This window comes from Homo sapiens, chromosome 3 (assembly GCF_000001405.40).
Source record: "Homo sapiens chromosome 3, GRCh38.p14 Primary Assembly".
NCBI lineage: Eukaryota > Metazoa > Chordata > Mammalia > Primates > Hominidae > Homo > Homo sapiens.
The window spans coordinates 192,133,477-192,158,655 of record NC_000003.12 but is presented as its reverse complement, the minus strand read 5'-3'; the positions used below and the strand labels follow the sequence as shown (position 1 = coordinate 192,158,655).

Genomic DNA, 25,179 nt, shown 5'->3' with positions numbered 1-25,179 from the left:
GAGGGAGGGAGGGAGGGAAAAAACAGAGAGAAAGAAAGAAGGAAGAAGAAAAAAAGAGAAAGACGAGAAGAAAGAAAGAAAGAGAAAGAAAGGGAGGGAGGGAGAGAGGGAGGGCGGGAGGAAGGGAGGGAAGGAAAGAAGAAAGAAAAAGGAAAGAGAGAGGAAGGAAGGGAGAGAGAGACAAAGAGCAAGAAAGCAAGAAAAAAGAAGAAAGAAAGAAAGAAAAAAGAAAAAGAAAGAGAAAGAAAGAAAAAGAAAGAGAGAGAAAGAAAAGAAAGAAAGAAAGAAAGAAAGAAAGAAAGAAAGAAAGAAAGAAAGAAAGAGAAAGAAAGAAAGAAAGAGAAAAGGGAAAAGCAGGCAGGTCTATTTCCTGAGTCTGTGGAGGGGCTAAGGTGGTATTGGAAGCTTGAGGTACAAGGGGAAGGTGTGAAATAAGTAACTTGCGAAGCATGAGAGAGCTGATTGACCAGAAAGATGTAGTAGAATTCCAGAAAGTGCTGTGTACAACCATGAGGTTTGGGGTCAAGGTTTTGACTTACGACCAGTCAAAACAGTTTTATGTTTTTCAGCATATTTACACATACTCAACTGTTAGGCTATCAGCTTAGAGCAGGGGCACCAGGGTTAGTCTCAAATGGATTTTAAAGCTGACTGCCCTGTATTGCTATATTACTTTGGACAGGTTACCCTCTTTGTTCTTCAGTTTACTCAGCTGCAAAACAGGCCACTAAAAGTATCTATTTTTATGGTCATTTAAAAAACTGTTTGTATGTATAATGTGCAGGCATATAGTAAGTGCTCAGTTAACGTTAGATATTATTATGAGGATGACTAATGCTTAATAGGAGAGTACTCATAGGATGGTACTTGGCACCCGGTTTATTATAGCTGTGTGCTTTATAAATAACAGCAATGCCCAAGATTTTACTTTTTTCATACTTTTAAGAAAGTCTTTGTTTCATTGTAATTTTTTCAGAAGAAATTTATAACTAAAATAGAAGTTATTGTTGAATGTTAGAAGTTGTAAATAGGGGAATCTGAGCCATCACGATGGCAAGGAAAGCCTGCATATTCTGGTAACTGCATTTGCAACACAGGCACCCATGAAAAGAATGTAATAGAAAAATATTAAATAGAAAGCTTGCCCTGGAAAAAATCCATACCTAATCCTACAAAGAGAAAATGGATTGTTTTTGACAATACTTCAAAGCTCAGTGATATATATTTCACATTTCTCTTTTCTAAAAGTGTAAATTTTTCACTTTAAAATGAAGCAAGAATTAAATAAATAGAACAAATACCATATATCATCACAGAGTCAATATATTATGGTCCTGTTCTGACCAAGTGTTGCATTGTATTTGTGTTACCAGAACTGCAGGGCTTTCTATGGCTACATGGTCAGTGCATGCTCAGACAGCTGTTAAAATCAAAACCTTCACTGTGCTGGGTCACCTGGTAACTACTGTCTATCTCACAAGTGCATTCTGCTGACATTCAAGGGTTAAACTGGTTTCTAGTAAATACTGTGCTTTAAAGTAGTACATACTGTGAGCTGTGTTATTAGAAACCTGCTTGTCCTTGTGTCTGAAAATAAGGAGGAACACTCTCGCACCAAATCTCTACCTTATTTTCACTCAGAAAGCTGGGTTAAATCTCTCCGTTTCAATCTACGATAGCTCTAGAAAAGTCAAAAGCATGAATAGAAAGAAACATTAAGAAGAAGGAAGAAAATTGAAATGTAAGTCAGAATAGAGGAAAAATAAGAAGAAAAGAAGTGAAATAAGAGTGTGCTTTGATTTGAAGAAAGAGTACAGAAGAACCAAAAAGAAATGCTTCCTCTTCAAAACATGATCGTATTTTACCATTTGTCCAAAACTATTATGATGATACATGCATTAGAGGAGCAATGATATTTTATCTCAGAAATATCCTGGGGTGAGGGAAGCAAATATTTCTTTTCCTACTCTATGTACTTGACAAATGAATAGAAAGAGGGCAAGCGGCTTGATCAAGGACAACCCAGAAAAGCCAGATGAAAGGGAAATAACATTGTTTATTTATCTTGCAGGCCAGATGAAAGGGAAATAACATTGTTTATTTATCTTGCAGGCCTTGCATCTTTAGGACACTGAACATCCTTGAAATTTGGGTACTGAAACTGTGTTGGAAAAATAGTATCAAGTGCAATCAGAGAGAAACAAAGTTTAAATCAGTTTTATACTAAGTACTATCTATAACATCATACCTGCTGAAAATAAAATCTATATCACAAGTGTTGCCCCAAGGTCCTGAGTGAGACATAGTTAACTAGTAACATCCCATATTGTCTAAATTAGAGGATTTGCTTCCAATTTCATATGAGAAGTGCCACTGAATCTGAGTTTTTGTGGAACAGGATTGGGGAACTGGGAAGACAAGAAAGATAGGGAGTTTCTGTTTCTTTGTTTTGTTTTCATGTTATTTCCAGTCTAGAAATTACTGCTTATCATAAGAACTAAAATATCAAATTTTGTTCTCATAGCTGAAGTGGCCTCCAGTGCATAACACAGAGGAAACAGGAAAATAATTTTTGAAGAAAAAAAAGAGATTTAAAAAAAATTCTAGCACCTCCTAAAGCATGGCAAATCTATTCCTGGTGAAATAATATTGCGCATTATAACAGAAAGAGATGGAAAAAGTCCCTCTTGAAATACATTGCACTTCGAGCTACTACAAATCAAGGGACTAGGAATCTTTCTGGTTAATAATAAGGATCTGATTATTAGGAAGAGAGAAACTTAATCTGGCATAGGATAAGAATAATTTGAGAACCACAGTTTAAGAGTTGTAGAATTCATGTAGCTATTGAAGGTCAGAGCCTAGACAGTTCTCTGGACATACTTGCTAAAGGTTTCCCCTAAATGCTTAATAGTATGTGATTAGAAATTAATAGCAGAACTCCAAATTCTAGTGCTGATATTTATATAAGATCATGAATAAATTTTACTATAAAGTACATGTGATTCCCATTTTCTATGTGGTATTAGTAATTCTCCATACTTGTTCATAGCCAAAAGGCCAGAAGCAATGACATTAGTAATTCTTAATTTATTTTTTGTTTGTTTAGGCTTCTTAAGCTCCCCCCCAAAACAAAAGAACATGTTTTAGATCGCCCAAATGAACCTCACCTTTCAATTGCATTCAGAATTATGGTACTTGGAATGGGTATATTAGATAAACAGTGGGCCCTATACACACAGTGGGACTTCAGCTAGATTTATTCCTACGAAATTGTGATTGTGTTTGCAAAGCACCAGAACAACTCATAAAAGTTTCAAATGCTGAAAGACGGCCGAATAGGAACAGCTCCGGTCTACAGCTCCCAGCGTGAGCAATGCAGAAGACCGGTGATTTCTGCATTTCCATCTGAGGTACCGGGTTCATCTCACTAGGGAGTGCCAGACAGTGGGCGCAGGTCAGTGGGTGCGCGCACCGTGCGCGAGCCGAAGCAGGGCGAGGCATTGCCTCACCTGGGAAGCGCAAGGGGGCAGGGAGTTCCCTTTCCGAGTCAAAGAAAGGGGTGACAGACGCACCTGGAAAATCGGGTCACTCCCACCCGAATATTGCGCTTTTCAGACCGGCTTAAAAAACGGCGCACCACGAGACTATATCCCACACCTGGCTCGGAGGGTCCTACGCCCACGGAATCTCGCTGATTGCTAGCACAGCAGTCTGAGATCAAACTGCAAGGCGGCAGCGAGGCTGGGGGAGGGGCGCCCGCCATTGCCCAGGCTTGTTTAGGTAAACAAAGCAGCCGGGAAGCTCGAACTGGGTGGAGCCCACCACAGCTCAAGGAGGCCTGCCTGCCTCTGTAGGCTCCACCTCTGGGGGCAGGGCACAGACAAACAAAAAGACAGCAGTAACCTCTGCAGACTTAAAGGTCCCTGTCTGACAGCTTTGAAGAGAGCAGTGGTTCTCCCAGCACGCAGCTGGAGATCTGAGAACGGGCAGACTACCTCCTCAAGTGGGTCCCTGACCCCTGACCCCCGAGCAGCCTAACTGGGAGGCACCGCCCAGCAGGGGCACACTGACACCTCTCACAGCAGGGTACTCCAACAGACCTGCAGCTGAGGGTCCTGTCTGTTAGAAGGAAAACTAACAAACAGAAAGGACATCCACACCGAAAACCCATCTGTATATCACCATCATCAAAGACCAAAAGTAGATAAAACCACAAAAATGGGGAAAAAACAGAACAGAAAAACTGGAAACTCTAAAATGCAGAGCGTCTCTCCTCCTCCAAAGGAACGCAGTTCCTCACCAGCAACGGAACAAAGCTGGATGGAGAATGACTTTGACGAGCTGAGAGAAGAAGGCTTCAGACGATCAAATTACTCTGAGCTACGGGAGGACATTCAAACCAAAGGCAAAGAAGTTGAAAACTTTGAAAAAAATTTAGAAGAATGTATAACTAGAATAACCAATACAGAGAAGTGCTTAAAGGAGCTGATGGAGCTGAAAACCAAGGCTCGAGAACTACATGAAGAATGCAGAAGCCTCAGGAGCCGATGCGATCAACTGGAAGAAGGGTATCAGCAATGGAAGATGAAATGAATGAAATGAAGCGAGAAGGGAAGTTTAGAGAAAAAAGAATAAAAAGAAATGAGCAAAGCCTCCAAGAAATATGGGACTATGTGAAAAGACCAAATCTACGTCTGATTGGTGTACCTGAAAGTGATGGGGAGAATGGAACCAAGTTGGAAGACACTCTGCAGGATATTATCCAGGAGAACTTCCCCAATCTAGCAAGGCAGGCCAACGTTCAGATTCAGGAAATACAGAGAACGCCACAAAGATACTCCTCGAGAAGAGCAACTCCAAGACACATAATTGTCAGATTCACCAAAGTTGAAATGAAGGAAAAAATGTTAAGGGCAGCCAGAGAGAAAGGTCGGGTTACCCTCAAAGGGAAGCCCATCAGACTAACAGCGGATCTCTCGGCAGAAACCCTACAAGCCAGAAGAGAGTGGGGGCCAATATTCAACATTCTTAAAGAAAAGAATTTTCAACCCAGAATTTCATATCCAGCCAAACTAAGCTTCATAAGTGAAGGAGAAATAAAATACTTTACAGACAAGCAAATGCTGAGAGATTTTGTCACCACCAGGCCTGCCCTAAAAGAGCTCCTGAAGGAAGCGCTAAACATGGAAAGGAACAACCGGTACCAGCCACTGCAAAATCATGCCAAAATGTAAAGACCATCGAGACTAGGAAGAAACTGCATCAACTAACGAGCAAAATCACCAGCTAACATCATAATGACAGGATCAAATTCACACATAACAATATTAACTTTCAATGTAAATGGACTAAATGCTCCAATTAAAAGACACAGACTGGCAAATTGGATAAAGAGTCAAGACCCATCAGTGTGCTGTATTCAGGAAACCCATCTCACATGCAGAGACACACATAGGCTCAAAATAAAAGGATGGAGGAAGATCTACCAAGCAAATGGAAAACAAAAAAAGGCAGGGGTTGCAATCCTAGTCTCTGATAAAACAGACTTTAAACCAACAAAGATCAAAAGAGACAAAGAAGGCCATTACATAATGGTAAAGGGATCAATTCAACAAGAAGAGCTAACTGTCCTAAATATATATGCACCCAATACAGGAGCACCCAGATTCATAAAGCAAGTCCTGAGTGACCTACAAAGAGACTTAGACTCACACACATTAATAATGGGAGACTTTAACACCCCACTGTCAACATTAGACAGATCAACGAGACAGAAAGTCAACAAGGATACCCAGGAATTGAACTCAGCTCTGCACCAAGCGGACCTAATAGACATCTACAGAACTCTCCACCCCAATTCAACAGAATATACATTTTTTTCAGCACCACACCACACCCATTCCAAAATTGACCACATAGTTGGAAGTAAAGCTCTCCTCAGCAAATGTAAAAGAACAGAAATTATAACAAACTATCTCTCAGACCACAGTGCAATCAAACTAGAACTCAGGATTAAGAATCTCACTCAAAGCCGCTCAACTACATGGAAACTGAACAACCTGCTCCTGAATGACTACTGGGTACATAACGAAATGAAGGCAGAAATAAAGATGTTCTTTGAAACCAACAAGAACAAAGACATAACATACCAGAATCTCTGGGACGCATTCAAAGCAGTGTGTAGAGGGAAATTTATAGCACTAAATGCCCACAAGAGAAAGCAGGAAAGATCCAAAATTGACACCCTAACATCACAATTAAAAGAACTAGAAAAGCAAGAGCAAACACATTCAAAAGCTAGCAGAAGGCAAGAAATAACTAAAATCAGAGCAGAACTGAAGGAAATAGAGACACAAAAAACCCTTCAAAAAATCAATGAATCCAGGAGCTGGTTTTTTGAAAGGATCAACAAAATTGATAGACCGCTAGCAAGACTAATAAAGAAAAAAAGAAGAATCAAATAGACACAATAAAAAATGATAAAGGGGATATCACCACCGATCCCACAGAAATACAAACTACCATCAGAGAATACTACAAACACCTCTACGCAAATAAACTAGAAAATCTAGAAGAAATGGATAAATTCCTCGACACATACACTCTCCCAAGACTAAACCAGGAAGAAGTTGAATCTCTGAATAGACCAATAACAGGAGCTGAAATTGTGGCAATAATCAATAGTTTACCAACCAAAAAGAGTCCAGGACCAGATGGATTCACAGCCGAATTCTACCAGAGGTACGAGGAGGAACTGGTACCATTCCTTCTGAAACTATTCCAATCAATAGAAAAAGAGGGAATCCTCCCTAACTCATTTTATGAGGCCAGCATCATTCTGATACCAAAGCCGGGCAGAGACACAACCAAAAAAGAGAATTTTAGACCAATATCCTTGATGAACATTGATGCAAAAATCCTCAATAAAATACTGGCAAACCGAATCCAGCAGCACATCAAAAAGCTTATCCACCATGATCAAGTGGGCTTCATCCCTGGGATGCAAGGCTGGTTCAATATACGCAAATCAATAAATGTAATCCAGCATATAAACAGAGCCAAAGACAAAAACCACATGATTATCTCAATAGATGCAGAAAAAGCCTTTGACAAAATTCAACAACCCTTCATGCTAAAAACTCTCAATAAATTAGGTATTGATGGGACGTATTTCAAAATAATAAGAGCTATCTATGACAAACCCACAGCCAATATCATACTGAATGGGCAAAAACTGGAAGCATTCCCTTTGAAAACTGGCACAAGACAGGGGTGCCCTCTCTCACCACTCCTATTCAACATAGTGTTGGAAGTTCTGGCCAGGGCAATTAGGCAGGGGAAGGAAATAAAGGGTATTCAATTAGGAAAAGAGGAAGTCAAATTGTCCCTGTTTGCAGACGACATGATTGTATGTCTAGAAAACCCCATTGTCTCAGCCCAAAATCTCCTTAAGCTGATAAGCAACTTCAGCAAAGTCCCAGGATACAAAATCAATGTACAAAAATCACAAGCATTCTTATACACCAACAACAGACAAACAGAGAGCCAAATCATGAGTGAACTCCCATTCACAATTGCTTCAAAGAGAATAAAATACCTAGGAATCCAACTTACAAGGGGTGTGAAGGACCTCTTCAAGGAGAACTACAAACCACTGCTCAAGGAAATAAAAGAGGATACAAACAAATGGAAGAACATTCCATGCTCATGGCTAGGAAGAATCAATGTCGTGAAAATGGCCATACTGCCCAAGGTAATTTACAGATTCAATGCCATCCCCATCAAGCTACCAATGACTTTCTTCACAGAATTGGAAAAAACTACTTTAAAGTTCATATGGAACCAAAAAAGAGCCCGCATTGCCAAGTCAATCCTAAGCCAAAAGAGCAAAGCTGGAGGCATCACACTACCTGACTTCAAACTATACTACAAGGCTACAGTAACCAAAACAGCATGGTACTGGTACCAAAACAGAGATATAGATCAATGGAACAGAATAGAGCCCTCAGAAATAATGCCGCATACCTACAACTATCTGATCTTTGACAAACCTGAGAAAACCAAGCAATGGGGAAAGGATTCCCCATTTAATAAATGGTGCTGGGAAAACTGGATAGCCATATGTAGGAAGCTGAAACTGGATCCCTTCCTTACACCTTATACAAAAATCAATTCAAGATGGATTAAAGATTTAAACGTTAGACCTAAAACCATAAAAACCCTAGAAGAAAACCTAGGCATTACCATTCAGGACATAGGCATGGGCAAGGACTTCATGTCCAAAACACCAAAAGCAATGGCAACAAAAGCCAAAATTGACAAATGGGATCTAATTAAACTAAAGAGCTTCTGCACAGCAAAAGAAACTACCATCAGAGTGAACAGGCAACCTACAAAATGGGAGAAAATTTTCGCAACCTAGTCATCTGACAAAGGGCTAATATCCAGAATCTACAATGAACTCAAACAAATTTACAAGAAAAAAACAAACAACCCCATCAAAAAGTGGGCGAAGGACATGAACAGACACTTCTCAAAAGAAGACATTTATGCAGCCAAAAAACACATGAAAAAATGCTCATCATCACTGGCCATCAGAGAAATGCAAATCAAAACCACTATGAGATACCATCTCACACCAGTTAGAATGGCAATCATTAAAAAGTCAGGAGACAACAGGTGCTGGAGAGGACGTGGAGAAATAGGAACACTTTTACACTGTTGGTGGGACTGTAAACTAGTTCAACCATTGTGGAAGTCAGTGTGGCGATTCCTCAGGGATCTAGAACTGGAAATACCATTTGACCCAGCCATCCCATTACTGGGTATATACCCAAATGACTATAAATCATGCTGCTATAAAGACACATGCAGACATATGTTTATTGCGGCATTATTCACAATAGCAAAGACTTGGAACCAACCCAAATGTCCAACAATGATAGACTGGATTAAGAAAATGTGGCACATATACACCATGGAATACTATGCAGCCATAAAAAATGATGAGTTCATGTCCTTTGTAGGGACATGGATGAAATTGGAAATCATCATTCTCAGTAAACTATCGCAAGAACAAAAAACCAAACACCGCATATTCTCACTCATAGGTGGGAATTGAACAATGAGATCACATGGACACAGGAAGGGGAATATCACACTCTGGGGACTGTTGTGGGGTGGGGGGAGGGGGGAGGGATAGCATTGGGAGATATACCTAATGCTAGATGACGAGTTAGTGGGTGCAGTGCACCAGCATGGCACATGTATACATATGTATCTAACCTGCACAATGTGCACATGTACCCTAAAACTTAAAGTATAATAATAAAAAAAAGGTTCAAATGCTGCCAGTCATTCCTTACAGAGTTCACTCAGTGAGATTCAGTTTGAATGATTTTTCTTGACTATACTGACTAGTTGTATCCATATCACGTAAACCTAGACATTTTTCTACATAAAGGAATTAATAGATTTTTCTTTATACACTCATGTCGGATGGACGTTAACTCTTCATTTGCTATCATATCACTTAATTAACTAAGTATATTAACTCTTCACTTGCTATCATATTGAGCCTGATATATATGATGTTCACGGTTTAAATTTTCTGGCCTGGAATTCAGCAAGCTCTGACACAAATTAGCCTTATCCTTCTTATTCGTCATCACCTCCCTATTTTACCCAGTCCTGTAGTGTTTATTTTTGCACTTATGTCTCATCTGAATTAGGACTAGCTACATTGTACGTGCTCAGTGGCCACATATGGCTAAATGGATGCTATACTAGGCAGCACAGTCCTAGAATATTTTCATCAGATTTCTCTATCCTTTTCCTCGCCCTGTACCTCCTCAGTTATATCTCAACTCCCTCTTCCTTAATACAGTTCTAAAACTAATGTTTTTTATTATTGGGGAATTGCTGGCTCTTCCTATGCAAATGGAACACCTCTGGCTTTAATAGTCACTTCTTATACCTTATACTCAGGACAATTCAGGACAAGTTGTTTGTTTGTTTGCTTTTTAATTGTGGTAAAATATGATAATACAAAATTTACCATTTTAATCATTTTTAAGTATATGTTTCATTGCCGTTAAGTACATTGACATTGTTGTGCAAACATCACCATCATCCAACTCCAGAACTTTTTCATCTCCCCCAACTGAAACTCTGTACTCATTAAATAAGAAATCCCCATTCTTCCCCAGCCCCTGGCAAGTACAGTTCTATTTTTTGCCTCTGTGAACTTGACTACTCTGGGTATCTCACATAAGTGGAATCAATATTTGGCTCCTTGTAACTGGCTTATTTCACCTAGCAGAATTTCTTCAAGGTTCATTCATGTTGTAGTATGTGTCAGAATTTTGTTTTTTAGGCTGAATAATATTTCATTATATGTATAGGCCACATTATATTTACCCATTCATTTGTCAATGGACATTTTGGTGCTTCCATCTTTTGGCTACAGTGAATAATCCTTCTATGGACATGGATGTACAGATAGATGCTGGGGTCCCTGCTTTCATTTATTTTGAGTGTACACCTACAGTTGGAATTGCTGGATCATATGGTACATCCGTATTTAATTTTTTGAGGAATCACCATTTCATTTTCCACGGTGGCTGAGCCATTTTACATTTAAGTAGAAATGAATAGGGTTTCAATTTCTCCACATACTCACCAACTCTTGTTACTTTCTTTTTTGATTTTGTTTATAACAGCCATATGTTTTCTTTTATTACCATTTCTGAATGACTTTAGGAATATTTAGTGAAGTTAAGGCCAACTTAAATCTTGATTAACATACAGACATAAGAATTCAAACACTGATATGTCAGTCATTTTACATTGTTTGTTGGATAAATTATGGTATTTCTGATTTTATTCAAAACTCTTAACTAGGACCTTGAAACCCTAAATATTCATCCTGGCCCTGCCACTACTCACTCTCTGACTTTATGGAAGTGGCTTAATTTCTTTTATATTTAAAAAAAATGGGGGTGATAATTTCTCACCTACTATATTCACTGGGTTATAATTGTAAAATTTAGTTAATCAATTTAAAATTGCTTTGAATACTCTGAAATGATATTGAGGCTGCTATATACATCATGGTGATTTTCGTTTACGTTTTGCACATATAATGCACTTTAGAGAACACTTACGCCTTGTTTCCTTCCTTAATTTTGTTTCATTATTTACCATGTACATTCAGAATAGCAGTCATTAAGCGTTAATGCAACTATGGATGGTAGTAAGGCAGTTATATTACTGAAGGGAGGTACTTTATTCTTTCTTTGCTTTCTAATTGGATTATGGTCTTTAAATTATATTGTAATTCAGAAATTTGATTGAGACTTATTCCCCTTGATTTGTCAGCTTCTTAGATATATTACTGAATCCTAGGTCCTGTAAATAACAATGAAAATTAATGCTCAAGAAATTACATTTAATCTATTGCTTTGACCAAGGTTTTGCTCTCCGTATTTGTATTTGCATGCAGTTTCTAGAATAACTTTAGTTTGCTTTCTCTGAACATCTTTTTATTTTGGTTAACAGAAGTATAGAAATTCAAATACCTATTTGATTTATTGAGGAGGGGGGCAGTTTTCATCAGTGAACTGGAAAACCTACCTTTTACTTGTCGTTTTCTAACTGGGACATGAACTAGGTTTTCAAAACCGTTAATTTTATTACTCCATTTAGTGCAAAGATTGGGAAATTAGAAAATGAGTTGTATGAGAAAAAGAGCAAATTTTACATCTTGCTGTGGCACTGGTGACTTTTGGTCTTTTTGAAACACTGTATATTTTCAGATGTCAATTTGCAATACCGCTCAATATAAGGATGGCCAGCAGGGTTAAATTACTGGAAAAGTTATCTGCAGCAGTAATTATAACAGTAACATTGTGTGTTGACACAAATGAAGTATTTTATGTGCAAGTGAGAAATAGAAAACAAAACAAAAAAAAAGATAAAAGTCCAAGTGAATGTTTTGGGTAGAATCTGTGGCATAAAAAAACTAAAAAGGAAATTGCAACTCTAAGAAACTCAGCTTAAAAAGTGATAAAAATATACACTTTAGGCCAGGCGCGATGGCTCATGCCTGTAATCCCAGCACTTTGGGAGGTCGAGGCGGGTGGATCACGAGGTTAGGAGATCGAGACCATCCTGGCTAACACGGTGAAACCCCATCTCTGCTAAAAATACAAAAATTAGCCAGGCGTGGTGGCTGGTGCCTATAGTCCCAGCTACTTGGGAGGCTGAGACAGGAGAATGGCATGAACCCGGGAGGCGGAGTTTGCAGTGAGCCTAGATAGCACCAAAGCACTCCAGCCTGGGCTATAGAGCGAGACTCCGTCTCAAAAAAAAAAAAAAAATATACACTTTAATGAAAATTAGAAAATTTATTCCTCAAGTATCCCTGGATGAAGCTTAAGGATTTGCAGGTCAAAATATATTATTTTTGAAAAAGGAGATTTTTGTAAATTCATTGAGATTCTGATTTAGCAATCTGTGGGGTGACCTGCAGATGTGTAAGTTTTCACAGCTGATTAGGTGACAGAGTTGGGAAGAACTATTTTATGGTATCATATGAATAGTGTTCCAGCTAAATCACCTCGTTGCTTCTTGCGTTCCCCTGTGCATTGAGCAGTTTTATGTAAATGGTTGTATTTTGCACAAATAAAAAACTATGCTTTAATTTTGGAGTTTTTAATTTTTTTTATAATAGAAAGAGAGGTAAGCACCATTAGACTTAGGGAACTTCAAGATTCTGGCAAGATATTCCCTAAGGATCTTCTATTTGTTGAAACAAAAAAAGAAGAAGAAAGACAAACTTGAATGACTTACTTGTGTCATTTGAAAATTATATGATCTACTCTCTGAGCTGGTTTCCTCTGTATACTCTGTTACTTCAGCCAAGGGCATTTAGTCCTTTGGGGATGTTGGAAGAGCCATCCGTGCAGTAATTGAAATATTTTTAAATCTCATTAAAATATATGTGGCTAATTTACATAACAGCCTTAACACACATATTTTATTCATATATTTTCTGCTACTCAGAGTGTAGTCTGGGTTTTATCAGCATCAACATCACCTGAGATCTATTTAAAATGGAGACTCTCAAGCTCACTACAATCCTTCTGATTCATAATCTGCATTTTAACAATATTCCTAGGTGATTCCCATGTACGGTAACATTTAAGAAGTTCTGTAATAGAATATGTTGGAAGAAATCTGTCTCCTCATCACTGAACCAGTCTCAGGAGACTCTCACTTGTATTCTAAATTCTGTTTTAGTCTAGTTTTGGATTTAGAATACTTTCAGCCAAAACAATTTATTTCTATATTCTCTGAAGATCTGTTATTCAAAATGCTCACAAAGAAATCAGCTCCTTAATTTTCATAAACATTTTTTGGTACTTGCTCTATGCAAGGCATTTAATCTTCATAAATATGCAATTTTTCATTTATGAAAATGTGTCCAAATTAACAAGGCTAGGAGATGGCTGAGTCAGGGTGTGGATCCGGGTAGCATGGTTCGCAAATCGGTAACCACTCAAAGTTCAAGGGAGGAAGCTATTTGATGTTGGAAGTAACATTCAAATTATCAAATCTTTGTAATGATGGTTTAATAGGTGGAGATACCTGTTTGTTCCTAAGCCGAGGATAAAAGTAACTCCTGATATTTACCTGAGACATATCATATACTCTTATCTAGTCACATTTGTCTATTTCACAAGAGTGTAATGAAGCTGAATTAACGTGTTTTGTAAGAATAACTTGAATAATTTGAAAACATCGTTCTTTCTAAACAATTATCTAGGAATAGCCATGATGGCTCACAGATGACTGAACTTTACAGCCAGACAATACAATAGAGGAGAAAAGAACGGTTTATATAGATATGAACTGAAGTCTCATGCTTGCATAATCACGTTCCCTATTGATGAAAAACTACAAAGTCACGGACTGTGTTTCTTACTTTAGCTAAATGTAGGGCAGTCGGGGAAATTGCTTCATCTTTTTTCCTCTTCTCTGTCCTCCCTTATTTTTTTACATAGGATGCCCTGGAAATGGCAATAAATATTTCAGTTTGATACATTATATTTCCTATGGTAGGGTAAAGATTAGCAACATGTAAATGAATATTTTTTTACCTACCCGAATTAGACTGCAGACTAAGGACCAAAAAGCGAAATATTTCCCATGTCTCCTCTGACTCTGGATGAAAATCCTCTTTTCTAGGTTAGGAAACTGTAAAGATTCAAGCCTTATCTATGAGAGAACAGAAACAACTTACTTAAATGTCTGCAGTTCAAGAAAAGTTTAAAAGGTTGTGACTGAAAGAACTGAAAGAAAATTAAGTGTATTCACTGATTATCAAGTTAAAACTGTTTTTTTATAATGAGAAGAAGAGCTTGTGATGAGAGTGAAGAATATTGTAAAATCAAATTTGAAAAGCTTATTGAAGGAAATTTATGTCCACTGTCATAAGTAATTTTTGTTATTTTGCCTTTCAGTGTGTATGTACAGAGAACCATCGCTACATGAAATTGGAGAAAAACAAGGGCGTTCAAGGAAAAGTTCTGGAACACCAACCATGAATGGAGGCAAAGTTGTGAATCAAGATTCAACATAGCTGAGAACTCTCCCCTTCTTCCCTCTCTCATCCCTTCCCCTTCCCTTCCTTCCCATTTACCCATTTCCTTCCAGTAAATCCACCCAAGGAGAGGAAAATAAAATGACAACGCAAGACCTAGTGGCTAAGATTCTGCACTCAAAATCTTCCTTTGTGTAGGACAAGAAAATTGAACCAAAGCTTGCTTGTTGCAATGTGGTAGAAAATTCACGTGCACAAAGATTAGCACACTTAAAAGCAAAGGAAAAAATAAATCAGAACTCCATAAATATTAAATTAAACTGTATTGTTATTAGTAGAAGGCTAATTGTAATGAAGACATTAATAAAGATGAAATAAACTTATTACTTTAAAGGAAAGGATTTGGAGAATTGAACTCACAAACTGATGTTATATACTCAATAGCTTAAACTCATGATAATGCTGCGATGTGTGGTTTTGCTTGATTTTGTATTTTATTTGGGCATCTGGAATTGACACACCATTACATTCTGTTTGCAGGATTTTTTTTGTAACCATGAAATTGAACATTTCCAAATTATAAACTATGTTAATACCTATAAAATATATAGCCAGGAACCATTTATCATCAAGAAAAGTGTAAGAAATTATTTTTGAGATGTAATTTAAGATTGTTTTATGTAAAAGGAAAATCTTGTATGGCATCGAATAGCCTTAATGAGTTTAATTCTTTCACAAAAATGATTTCAAATTATCCTAGAGTATAACATTTTTATCAAAGATATTATTTCCGGAGTTCTTCTTTCTTTCTTTTTTTTTTTTTTTTAGTAATTTAGCAAAAACATTACTGTTCTAATGCTGAAGTGACTTTTGCCAGTGCCATGTCCAGGTGGTGAGGTATAAGTTACTTGCTCTTAGCATTTGGTCTGATTTTTTTGCTTTGTGGACACCTTTGAGAGTATCCACAAAGCAATGTCTCAGGTGTGGACACCTGAGAGCATGTTTTAGAAAGCTTTGTACCCTGTCTTGTGGCAGGAAAGAAAGAACAGGGGTTTTACATAAGGAAATAAGTCCTAGGAAATTAGTCAACGCAAATTGCATTTGCGTTTGTACCTTACCACAGTCTTATATTGTTTTTTAAACTCTGCCATGAAATTTGGAGACATGACTGTGAAATTCCTAACTTACTATCTTACAAAGCCAGTAGCTAATTTGTTGCTCTATGTATGATCCTGTTACAAGTCCAGTTTGCAATTCATTTGTTTCCTAGAACACAGAAGGGTACCAGTAATACACTAAATTTTCAAGGTGTGTAGAGAAATAATATGGAATTAGCAGCTATGACTCCAACAGACAGGATTGTGTGAGCAGCTGAAAGGAGCAAAAAAGAACTCAGTGTAAGAGAAGGCACATACATAGTTAAGAATACTAAAGTATTTTTAAAAATCAAGGAAGAAATAAATGTTACACAATTTGCATTGGAATAAATAGATCTATTTAGTCCTACAAATCAGGAGTGGTGTAGAGACATCCAAATTTAAAGAAAAAAAAACACAAAACAGAATGTTAAAAAATGTATGCAGATTTATGGATATTATCAATGAGAAGACATAGCATGTAACTTCTCCTATATCTCTACTGTCCAGCATGTATTGTTCCAAATATGACTCCCTAAAATATATACACTTTGCAGAAGCTCTAGGCCCTCACCTCAAACCTTGCCATTGGTTGCCGTATTTCAAGGTCAATATAGTTTCCCTCACTTTACACAATCATTATTCTTCAATAGTGGACCATATCCTTCACCAGGTATCCTATTTCTGTTATCTAGAGGTTAGCAGAAAATGAAATGAAGGAATTTCCCTAAGCAGTTGGGAAGAACAAATTGTATGCATGTAGGCAAAGATTTTGAAGATACATTTGCAAGAGATATTTGTTTAACCAAAATATTTGGAAAGTAACAAATAAAGACATTTAAATTTTCTAAAAATGGACTTGCTCTTCTAGGAAAAGAATACCCCTGGGGCAAAAATATAACTCTAGCTGTATTTCTTCTTGTCACTCTTGATTCAACTTGATTATAAATACACCTGTCACTACCAGAACCAAAAAAAAAAAGAAAAAAATCCCAAGCACAAAGCTTATTTTATTTGAAAAAAATAAAAAAGAAACTTCAACACTATGGGACACTGGCTCTTTTAGCATGAAATGACTTGAGCTTTTGTAGTGATGATACACATACACACTCATCAGTAAAACGATGGTTTCATAAATAACACAATTGATGCAAATCATAAAAATCAATTACAATTATGATTTCATGACAAAATATATTTAATTAAGTTTGTTATGAAAAAAATAGAGATATGAATCACTAACAAAATTCCTCCATTTTCAGTGGCTATTCATCATTTATCATCTAGACTCACATTTGTCTCCTTCCTGATAGCAGTTAAGAAAAAATTCTAACCACACAATTTGTATATTGTTTTTCTCCGTATTATGTTAAGCAAATGTTCACTGCAGTAAAATGTTTTGGAAATTAGCTTTGTCTTATTTCCAGTTTAGTTCAGAGAATTAATTGGAAACCTGATTTCTTTTACACATAAACCTGACAAAAAATGTAGCTTAGAGCAAAGGGTGAATGTTTGCTTAACTCCTGCTTACTTCTCAAGTACATGAAAACTTTAATAGAATATGCCAGTATTCACTGAGTTTTTAAAAATATTACCATGTGTAAACATATAATATCCAACTTCATCCAAAAATATGGTTGAGTTTAAGTACTTTGTTTTTCAGGCTTATTTCAAGTATAATAATTCTTTGATTTTCATTGTTCTGATTTCTGGGTCTTCAATTCATTCGTCACTTTTCCTTTTTAAGTAAAATAAGCTTTTTTTTTTTTTTTTTTTTTTTTTTGGAGTTGCATTGGGATTTTTCCCAGGAAAAAATATGGCTTTTAGTAATGCTTTGCAATTGGCTACGCAGATATAAATTAAGATATGTTTATTCTGAGTTCTTATTGGAATAAGTTTCAAAATCAACGAGCTTAAGAATGAAAACAAAACTTTTGAGAGTCTCACAAAATAGCTTTCTGGTCAATACACCTTACTTGATTTTTAAGCTCGCAGAATAAAGTATAGAAACAAATGGAGCTGAAGTTCCATTTGCTAATTCAGAGACTTTTGTGCTTCCGCAAATTGGAGGGCAGCAAGCCATCCTATTCTCATAGTAATCGTTTTGGCTTTGAAATTTACATACAATTTAATAGCACATTTTTAGCCATTATGGATTGGCGCAATAAAGAGATATCAATGTAATGCAATGTGATGCTTTATGGGCCTCATTCTAATTCAGAAAGCTTGTTTAAAAGAACTAAGACTCTTCTGTTTAATAAAATAGCAACAATCTAATATCTAGATTGGTAGTCCTGCGGTGCCACTAGTGGGAGATGAGAGTATTAAGACAAGAGTAAGGACAAGGAAAGACTTAAAGGTTGCATATTGAAAAGTTTGGAATTCCTAATTTGGGAGCACTGATTTCTTGGTGAAGAAGTAAGTATGACTACGTTGCCAGTAATTTTTTAAAAACATAGACCCAGAAATAGCAAATCGATTTCACCCTCATACCTTAGTCTACAAGGCCTTGCTCTTGAGAAGGTTTTCCATGATATTGCTTAATTTCATCTGCACAAGATGAGACACAAACATAAAAATTCCCTGCTCATTTTAATACCATAAAAGGCTGAGGTTATTTCTCTGTCATAAAATTGTAAATAGCATTTTTTAAGTCAAAATTACATTTAAAACAGTGGATTGTTCTACAAATATATATGTGTATATATACATATGCTTCTGAAATAAGGATATATTATATGAGTTTTTATTTGATTTGTGGTCTTTAGTCATAGGTAATCAAAAATAAAGAGATTTGAATGCAAAACTTTATACATTAATGTACATTTCTAATGATGGTACAAATTGCCACTTTATAATAAAAAAGAAACAGGTGGGAATAATAATCAAAGCACGTGTTCCTTCAGTACTTTGGTGATTTTTAATCCCCCTTGTGATGCACAGGAAATTATTTTTTAGTTACAAAAAGTTATCTTAGAAATCTATACTTCCCAATACAGATTTCATGTTAAGTCATATCAAATTGAGAATTTGTGGTGAAAGAATAGGAAAAGGATGCTAGATGCTGATCTTTCTTTTTCAGGATTTTTCCTGGAGCCCAAGTTAAAAATTCAATACTTAAATCTAAGTTAAGTGAAAATTAATAATGTTCAGAATGATGTATTGAGCTTTAGTAACAGACGGAAGCAAAAAAAAATAAGAATATTTAACATTATGATAATAGCCTTAAAATAATGTAATAAAAATTGCATCATTAAATGTTCTATTAGTTGGAAAGAATGAGCTGATGTTTCTTTGTCTTTGCTCCAAGTACAATTTAAAGACAGTGACATTCATTTTACTTAAAATTGTTCAAAAAGTCCAAAACATACTCCCATGGCTAGAATTGGTATTAGCTCCAATACAAGGTTAAATGTTACAATCTTAAGAAATTATTGACACTGAAATGTTTAGTAAACATGTTGTATGAGAAACTAAACAAATTAATGTTTCATTTTTCCATTAAAGCACAGATTATTCAAATCATTGTTTTCTGAGCTCAGATTTGTAAAACGTTTATACATCATTACCCTCCTGGAATTAAAAACAATTAAAATCCTGAGATGCTCATGCACGTAGACGAAATACTGGCACTTTTTTTTAAACATTAAACTTCTTTGAGAAGTCTACCTTTTTTTTTTTAGTGTGTTTATCCTATATTGCTGAAAAAGCGCTGTGTCTTTTTAAGAAAAAGATCAAAAATTGATTTACAGATGGGAAAGATGTCTAATTTTGTAGAAGAGTTGAAAGAAAAGTAAATGTTTCTTTGTAATTACGTAGCTACTTGTCTCAACCTGACATCTTGCTTTCAAGGATTAAGAACTAAAGTACGTTCATTTATTCTTTTATTCATAACATACCAACTAGAGGCTCAGTTGAGTTTAGGCATCATACACTGAATTGCAATCTCAAAACAACAACAACAAAGGCAGACACATAAATAAATAATGCAATACCTAAAAGTATGTGCTATGATAAATGCAAAAAAGATTTTATATACCACTGAGGAGGCAACAAAGGCATCATCAGGGATTAGAGGCAAGACAGCGATTGAAAAAGAACAGATATTTGCTGAGTGATAAAGGGGGACGACAAAGGCCTCTCAAGTAGAGGAAATCATTTGAATGAAAGATGGATACTTGGAAAACAGGGCTTGGTTGGGAAGAATGTTCAGAAAAGGAGGTGGAAGAAAAACTGAGTTGAGATCAATAAAAACGAAAAGTTACTCAAAGGTTTTCTTTTTTTTTTTTTTTTTTTTTTTTTTTTTTTTTTTTTTGAGACGGAGTCTCGCTCTGTCGCCCAGGCCGGACTGCGGACTGCAGTGGCGCAATCTCGGCTCACTGCAAGCTCCGCTTCCCGGGTTCACGCCATTCTCCTGCCTCAGCCTCCCGAGTAGCTGGGACTACAGGCGCCCGCCACCGCGCCCGGCTAATTTTTTGTATTTTTAGTAGAGACGGGGTTTCACCTTGTTAGCCAGGATGGTCTCGATCTCCTGACCTCATGATCCACCCGCCTCGGCCTCCCAAAGTGCTGGGATTACAGGCGTGAGCCACCGCGCCCGGCCTCAAAGGTTTTCAATACAGCCTTTGTATTTGTTTGAACATCTGTATCTGCTAGGATGCTTCTGGTTGCTCAGACAGAATCCCCAAACCAAACTGGCGCTTCATCTCGAATATCTAGGTACACAGCATCACCATCGAGGCTTACTTTGTAGTTCTCTCAGCTCTGTCCACCTCCATGTATAACTTCTCCCTTAGAGGCAGAATTTCCTTTAGTAGTTTCAGAACCTGCATGCTTATATCATCTATTCTCTATTAGAATCCCCCAGACGACATCTTACATTTCGTTGGCCTGATTTAGATCATCTGTCCACACTTCAGTGACTGACCATGGCCAGAGACTTGAGATATGTTGACTAGTGTAAGTCAACCAAGACCTGGAGGTTGGATTGTCCCCCAAGATACAAGTCTGCATGGTTGAGGAGTAAATATTTGAATGCAATTCAGATCCCTTTTATCAAGAGGAAATGTAAATGAAGAGCAAAAAGTAGCAAATCTCCATTACTAATGAATAGATGTATTTTCTATCACAAGTCATTGGCTATTCTAAAAATCCGCAGAGAAATGCAAATATTGATTAATTAAAGCTACTGCCATAAACCATAAGAACAAACAAAAACATTGACAATTCAATTCCCTAAGCATTATTAAGTGACTGCTATGAAGAAGGCACTGTGCAGGTCACTGATGAAGAGATAAACAGCTGCAATTTTAAAGAAAAGTGGTACATTTGACAATAACTCGATATATCTGATATGTTCAATGCTTTTAGATGACTCTCATGGAGGGGGTTAGAAAATGCAGCTTGCTTATTCTAGATCAGAGGTTCATATCATACCTACTTTTATTCATACCCATGCAAGCACTGCTAGGATTAGGCCATTAGAAAATGCTGCACTTCAAAATCACCTGCAACAACCGTGCATGTCTTTCTTTCTTTTTTTTTTCTTTTTCTTTTCTTTTTTTTTTTTTTTGAGACGGAGCCTCGCTCTGTCGCCCAGGCTGGAGTGCAGTGGCGCGATCTCGGCTCACTGCAAGCTCCGCCTCCCGGGTTCACGCCATTCTCCTGCCTCAGCCTCCCGAGTAGCTGGGACTACAGGCGCCCGCCACCTCGCCCGGCTAATTTTTTGTATTTTTAGTAGAGACAGGGTTTCACCCTGTTAGCCAGGATCGTCTCAATCTCCTGACTTCGTGATCCGCTCACCTCGGCCTCCCAAAGTGTTGGGATTGCAGGCACCCCACCTCGCCCGAACGCGTGCCTTTCTTGAATCTCCTCTACAGAACATAGCACGTGTTTTGAACACTTTGAATGACACTAAGTGTATTAACAATCCAAACTACCCTATTCCATTTGTGAGAAGTATTGGTTTTATATTTATATTGGCATCAAAACCTTGGGTTACCATCTTTCAAAAAAAGTCTTGATTTTCCACTGACTTTCAGGTTTGTTTTTTTGAGAGGATTGAATACATTTTATTTAAAAGTAAAGTGCATCTTCTGAGCACATACTTTCACAATTGTTTTTCTTATGAGTATAAAATAATATTGCTGTTGTCACATTATTTTTCTAATTCATTTTGACAACCTTATCTGAAAGACAATGTATCTTAATTTCTGTGCTATGTCTCTTATATATTATACCTACTTGTGTATTAACCTTGCCTACCCACTGCAATTTGCTGTCTTGAAAAATATGTTCCTGACCCAGAGAGGCACACAAAGACATACACAAGAAGAACATTGCAGGAGGAGTATTTAATATATGAATTGCATGTCAGTCATGCTATGACTTGTCTCTGATGTCATTTTCCTTGCCTGTTTCATCTTTTTGTTTCTTATATGCATTTTCGGTTGTACCACTGCTTCATTGACTGACTTAACTCTGAATTTGTTGATGATATTTTTCCCTAGTGTTTTGAGTAATTATTTTCTATGCTGACGGCTTCACCTCATAAGCATACCCTCATAATAGATCTGATTGGTACTTTACCTTTACAACCAAGAAAATAGTGGCTAAATTAAATTGGAAGGTTGTGGGTTTGTTTGCTTTTTGTGTGTGTGTGTAATGATAAGCCTGAATACAGGCATTCCACATGTTATTTGGACCATTCAAAGACATCATGACCGAAGTCTCTGCAATTCAATGTACTTTTTCTTCAAAGTACCATTTATTCACAGTCCAAAATGGCTGCTCCAGTTGTAGGCATCATGCTCACATCTAGGACACAGAAAAAAGGAAGACAGGGAGGTGGAAATATGTGGTACCTCTAACATGGAAACATCTTTTCCAGAAACCCCCAGCATAGGTCTCACTGGCCAGAACTGGAGGTTCGTGGGTAAGGAAGAAAAAGGAATTGAAATTGGGTAAGGAATTAGACACTTCTATCACAAAATGTGAACTGCCCTCGAGGTTTGTACTGGGCATATTCACAACCTCTTCCATTGTCTAGTACGTCCTCCTGCTGAAGGTACTAACACCAACAGGCTATAAGGTCTAGGTTAACGATGTTTTTGTGGTCCAGGATACTTGTTTCTCTGGCAAGTTGAGCCACTGTCATTTCTGATCTCCTGTACGACAAGGAAAATAACTAACTAACCTACATGCTGTCTGGGTGTTCCCTATAAGAAATCAAAGAGAGGCACACTGGATGTATGAGGAGATGAGTTCTTTCTTTGAACAGTGTGGATTAGAGTAGCAATATTCTCTAAATCGTATACCAAGAAATCTTGGTCAGATCACCCTAGAATGATAGAGCATAGATGCTATTACTTCACCATATCTAGTTCACTAGGAGAATGATCATCACAACACCGCAATTTGGGGGTCTCACTGAATTAGAAACTTGCCCACACTACTAGCAGATGACCTGTGCTGGGACATCTCAGCCCAAAGGTGAACTAATCATGGAATTATGGACAAGAGTGATATGAATCTGCTTTACTAACTCACTCTCCATCTTAAATGCCAGAGCTATTTCTAACCTGGCTCGAAACAAGTGACTGTGACCTGTTAGAATATAGCCAGCATAATTGTCCATGGACTTGGAGATGGCCACCCACTTCCCTGATACAGAGCATATAGTTATCTGGAACTTGGTTCTAAAAGCAGGAATTGGAGGGATTAGCTCTCCCTACTTCCTCACTGTTTCCCCCATCCAAAACCCAGCACATCATTGCCTCTATAGTTAGGGCCTAGGTTCTGGTCAAGCGTACGTATCCTTCTTCCAGATGGAGGAGTCTAAGAGGCATCTCATCAAGAATGCATAAGATGGTTTCATTTTCATGATTTTGTTTCTTCAAGGAAATAAAAGTAATTGATTATTTCAGTATCTATGTAGTTATCATATGTTGTTACTATTTAGATTTCATTACTCTTCTTGCTTAGGATATATTCATTGGTTTGTAACCTCAACTGCATATTAGAATTACCTGACAACTTCTAAAAAATATACTGAGGCTTAGGCCCCACCCCTAGAAATCCTGATGAAATCAGTTTGGAGTAAAGGCAGGTGATTCTTTCTTGCAGATTTGAGAATCACTCCACTGAATGAACCCTTAATAAACCGTAGTTAACATTTATTAAGTGCCTAGTCAAGGCTGGTTGAAGTCAACTTTCCAGAGAAATTTTAAGTTGTAAATGTGCATGAGAGTTATGAGTAGAAGACTCTCTTATGACAAGGTTTAGACAATTTTAATAGCAGGGGATATTAGATGCTAAGTTTCTGCAATGTCCCTGCCATATTTCAGCATCATGCCTAATCTCCTAGAGGTGTTGTAGTGATATATTTAAAGATTTCTTGATACGGAGCTGGGCCTTGTATTAAGATGTTGCCCAAATATTCAGAGTTGATTCAAGGACAACTTCTTCTGTCTGAATCCAGAGAGATACTTGTTTAAGCAATCGCGTTATGTGAGTGCTTACTTTATGAACAAAATATTTGGATCTGAATTAGGTTAATAAATGTGGCCACCGTCTTGAAATGGTAGCCCCCCAAATTATTAACAGCATATATTTAAAATCTGGACCTTTACAAAAATAAAGTTATATTTTTTGCTTCTGCTGTAATGGTTCACAATGCTACTTTATTTAGTAGTGAGAATATGTTAAGACAGACTTCTCTGTCACTTGGAAAGGAGTTCACTTTCCCCTGACAATATAGTCCTGGCTAAGAATGTCTCTTAGCTCATGAGTAGTCAGATTTATTCTCTTGCATCTGAGCACCCATTCTCAGGACAAAATTAAATTACAATAGCTTTTTTCACACTTTTACTCAGAGCACACTGTCTCCTGCAACCAAAACTGTCACACTTGTGTTTTATTTCTTTTTCTTCGCCCAGCACTACACTCTAAAAACAAAGAGGTAACATATGACTCTTCCTCAATTACATGTACACTGACTGAACCCATTATAAGGAAGAAAACAGAAATCTGTGTCTCCTCCAGAAAGCTAGAAAGCTAGGTAATTCAATAGTGCGTGTTTCTGTATTTTACTATTTAAGTCCATGTACCCTATATTTCTCTAGTCCTTGCCCTTATTCTTTCCAGCAGACACACAACTTGTCTCATAAAATTCCTCGACTTGCTCCAACAATAAGGGAGGGGAAGTCAGAAATTCACCATAGGTTACTCTGAGTTTCACTGCTTAGAACCTGCTGAATGCAAGCAGCATATATCAAAAGAAGATACCTGGTTACCAGGTCACTTTCTCTGCCTTTGTCAGAATGTATGCAACTCTCCTCATGAAAAACCTAGAGAAATTTGCCTCACACTTCCTTTTTTTCCCAAGAAGCATGCTGGAAATTGGGTCAGATCTAGTATTGTGGTCAATTTTATGCG

At 37.2% G+C, this 25,179-nt stretch overlaps 1 protein-coding gene across 7 annotated transcripts in view; it reads left to right on the top strand.

Annotated features, from left to right (window-relative positions):
• Positions 1-19,266, top strand: part of FGF12 (fibroblast growth factor 12) — a 588,152-nt gene extending 568,886 nt beyond the window's left edge. For all 7 annotated transcript variants that reach the window (NM_001377293.1, NM_001377292.1, NM_004113.6 and 4 more), the window contains one exon: positions 14,529-19,266. In NM_001377293.1, coding sequence (NP_001364222.1) covers positions 14,529-14,647 — 119 coding nt within the window. In that variant the 3' untranslated portion in view covers positions 14,648-19,266. The remainder of the gene's footprint in view (positions 1-14,528) is intronic.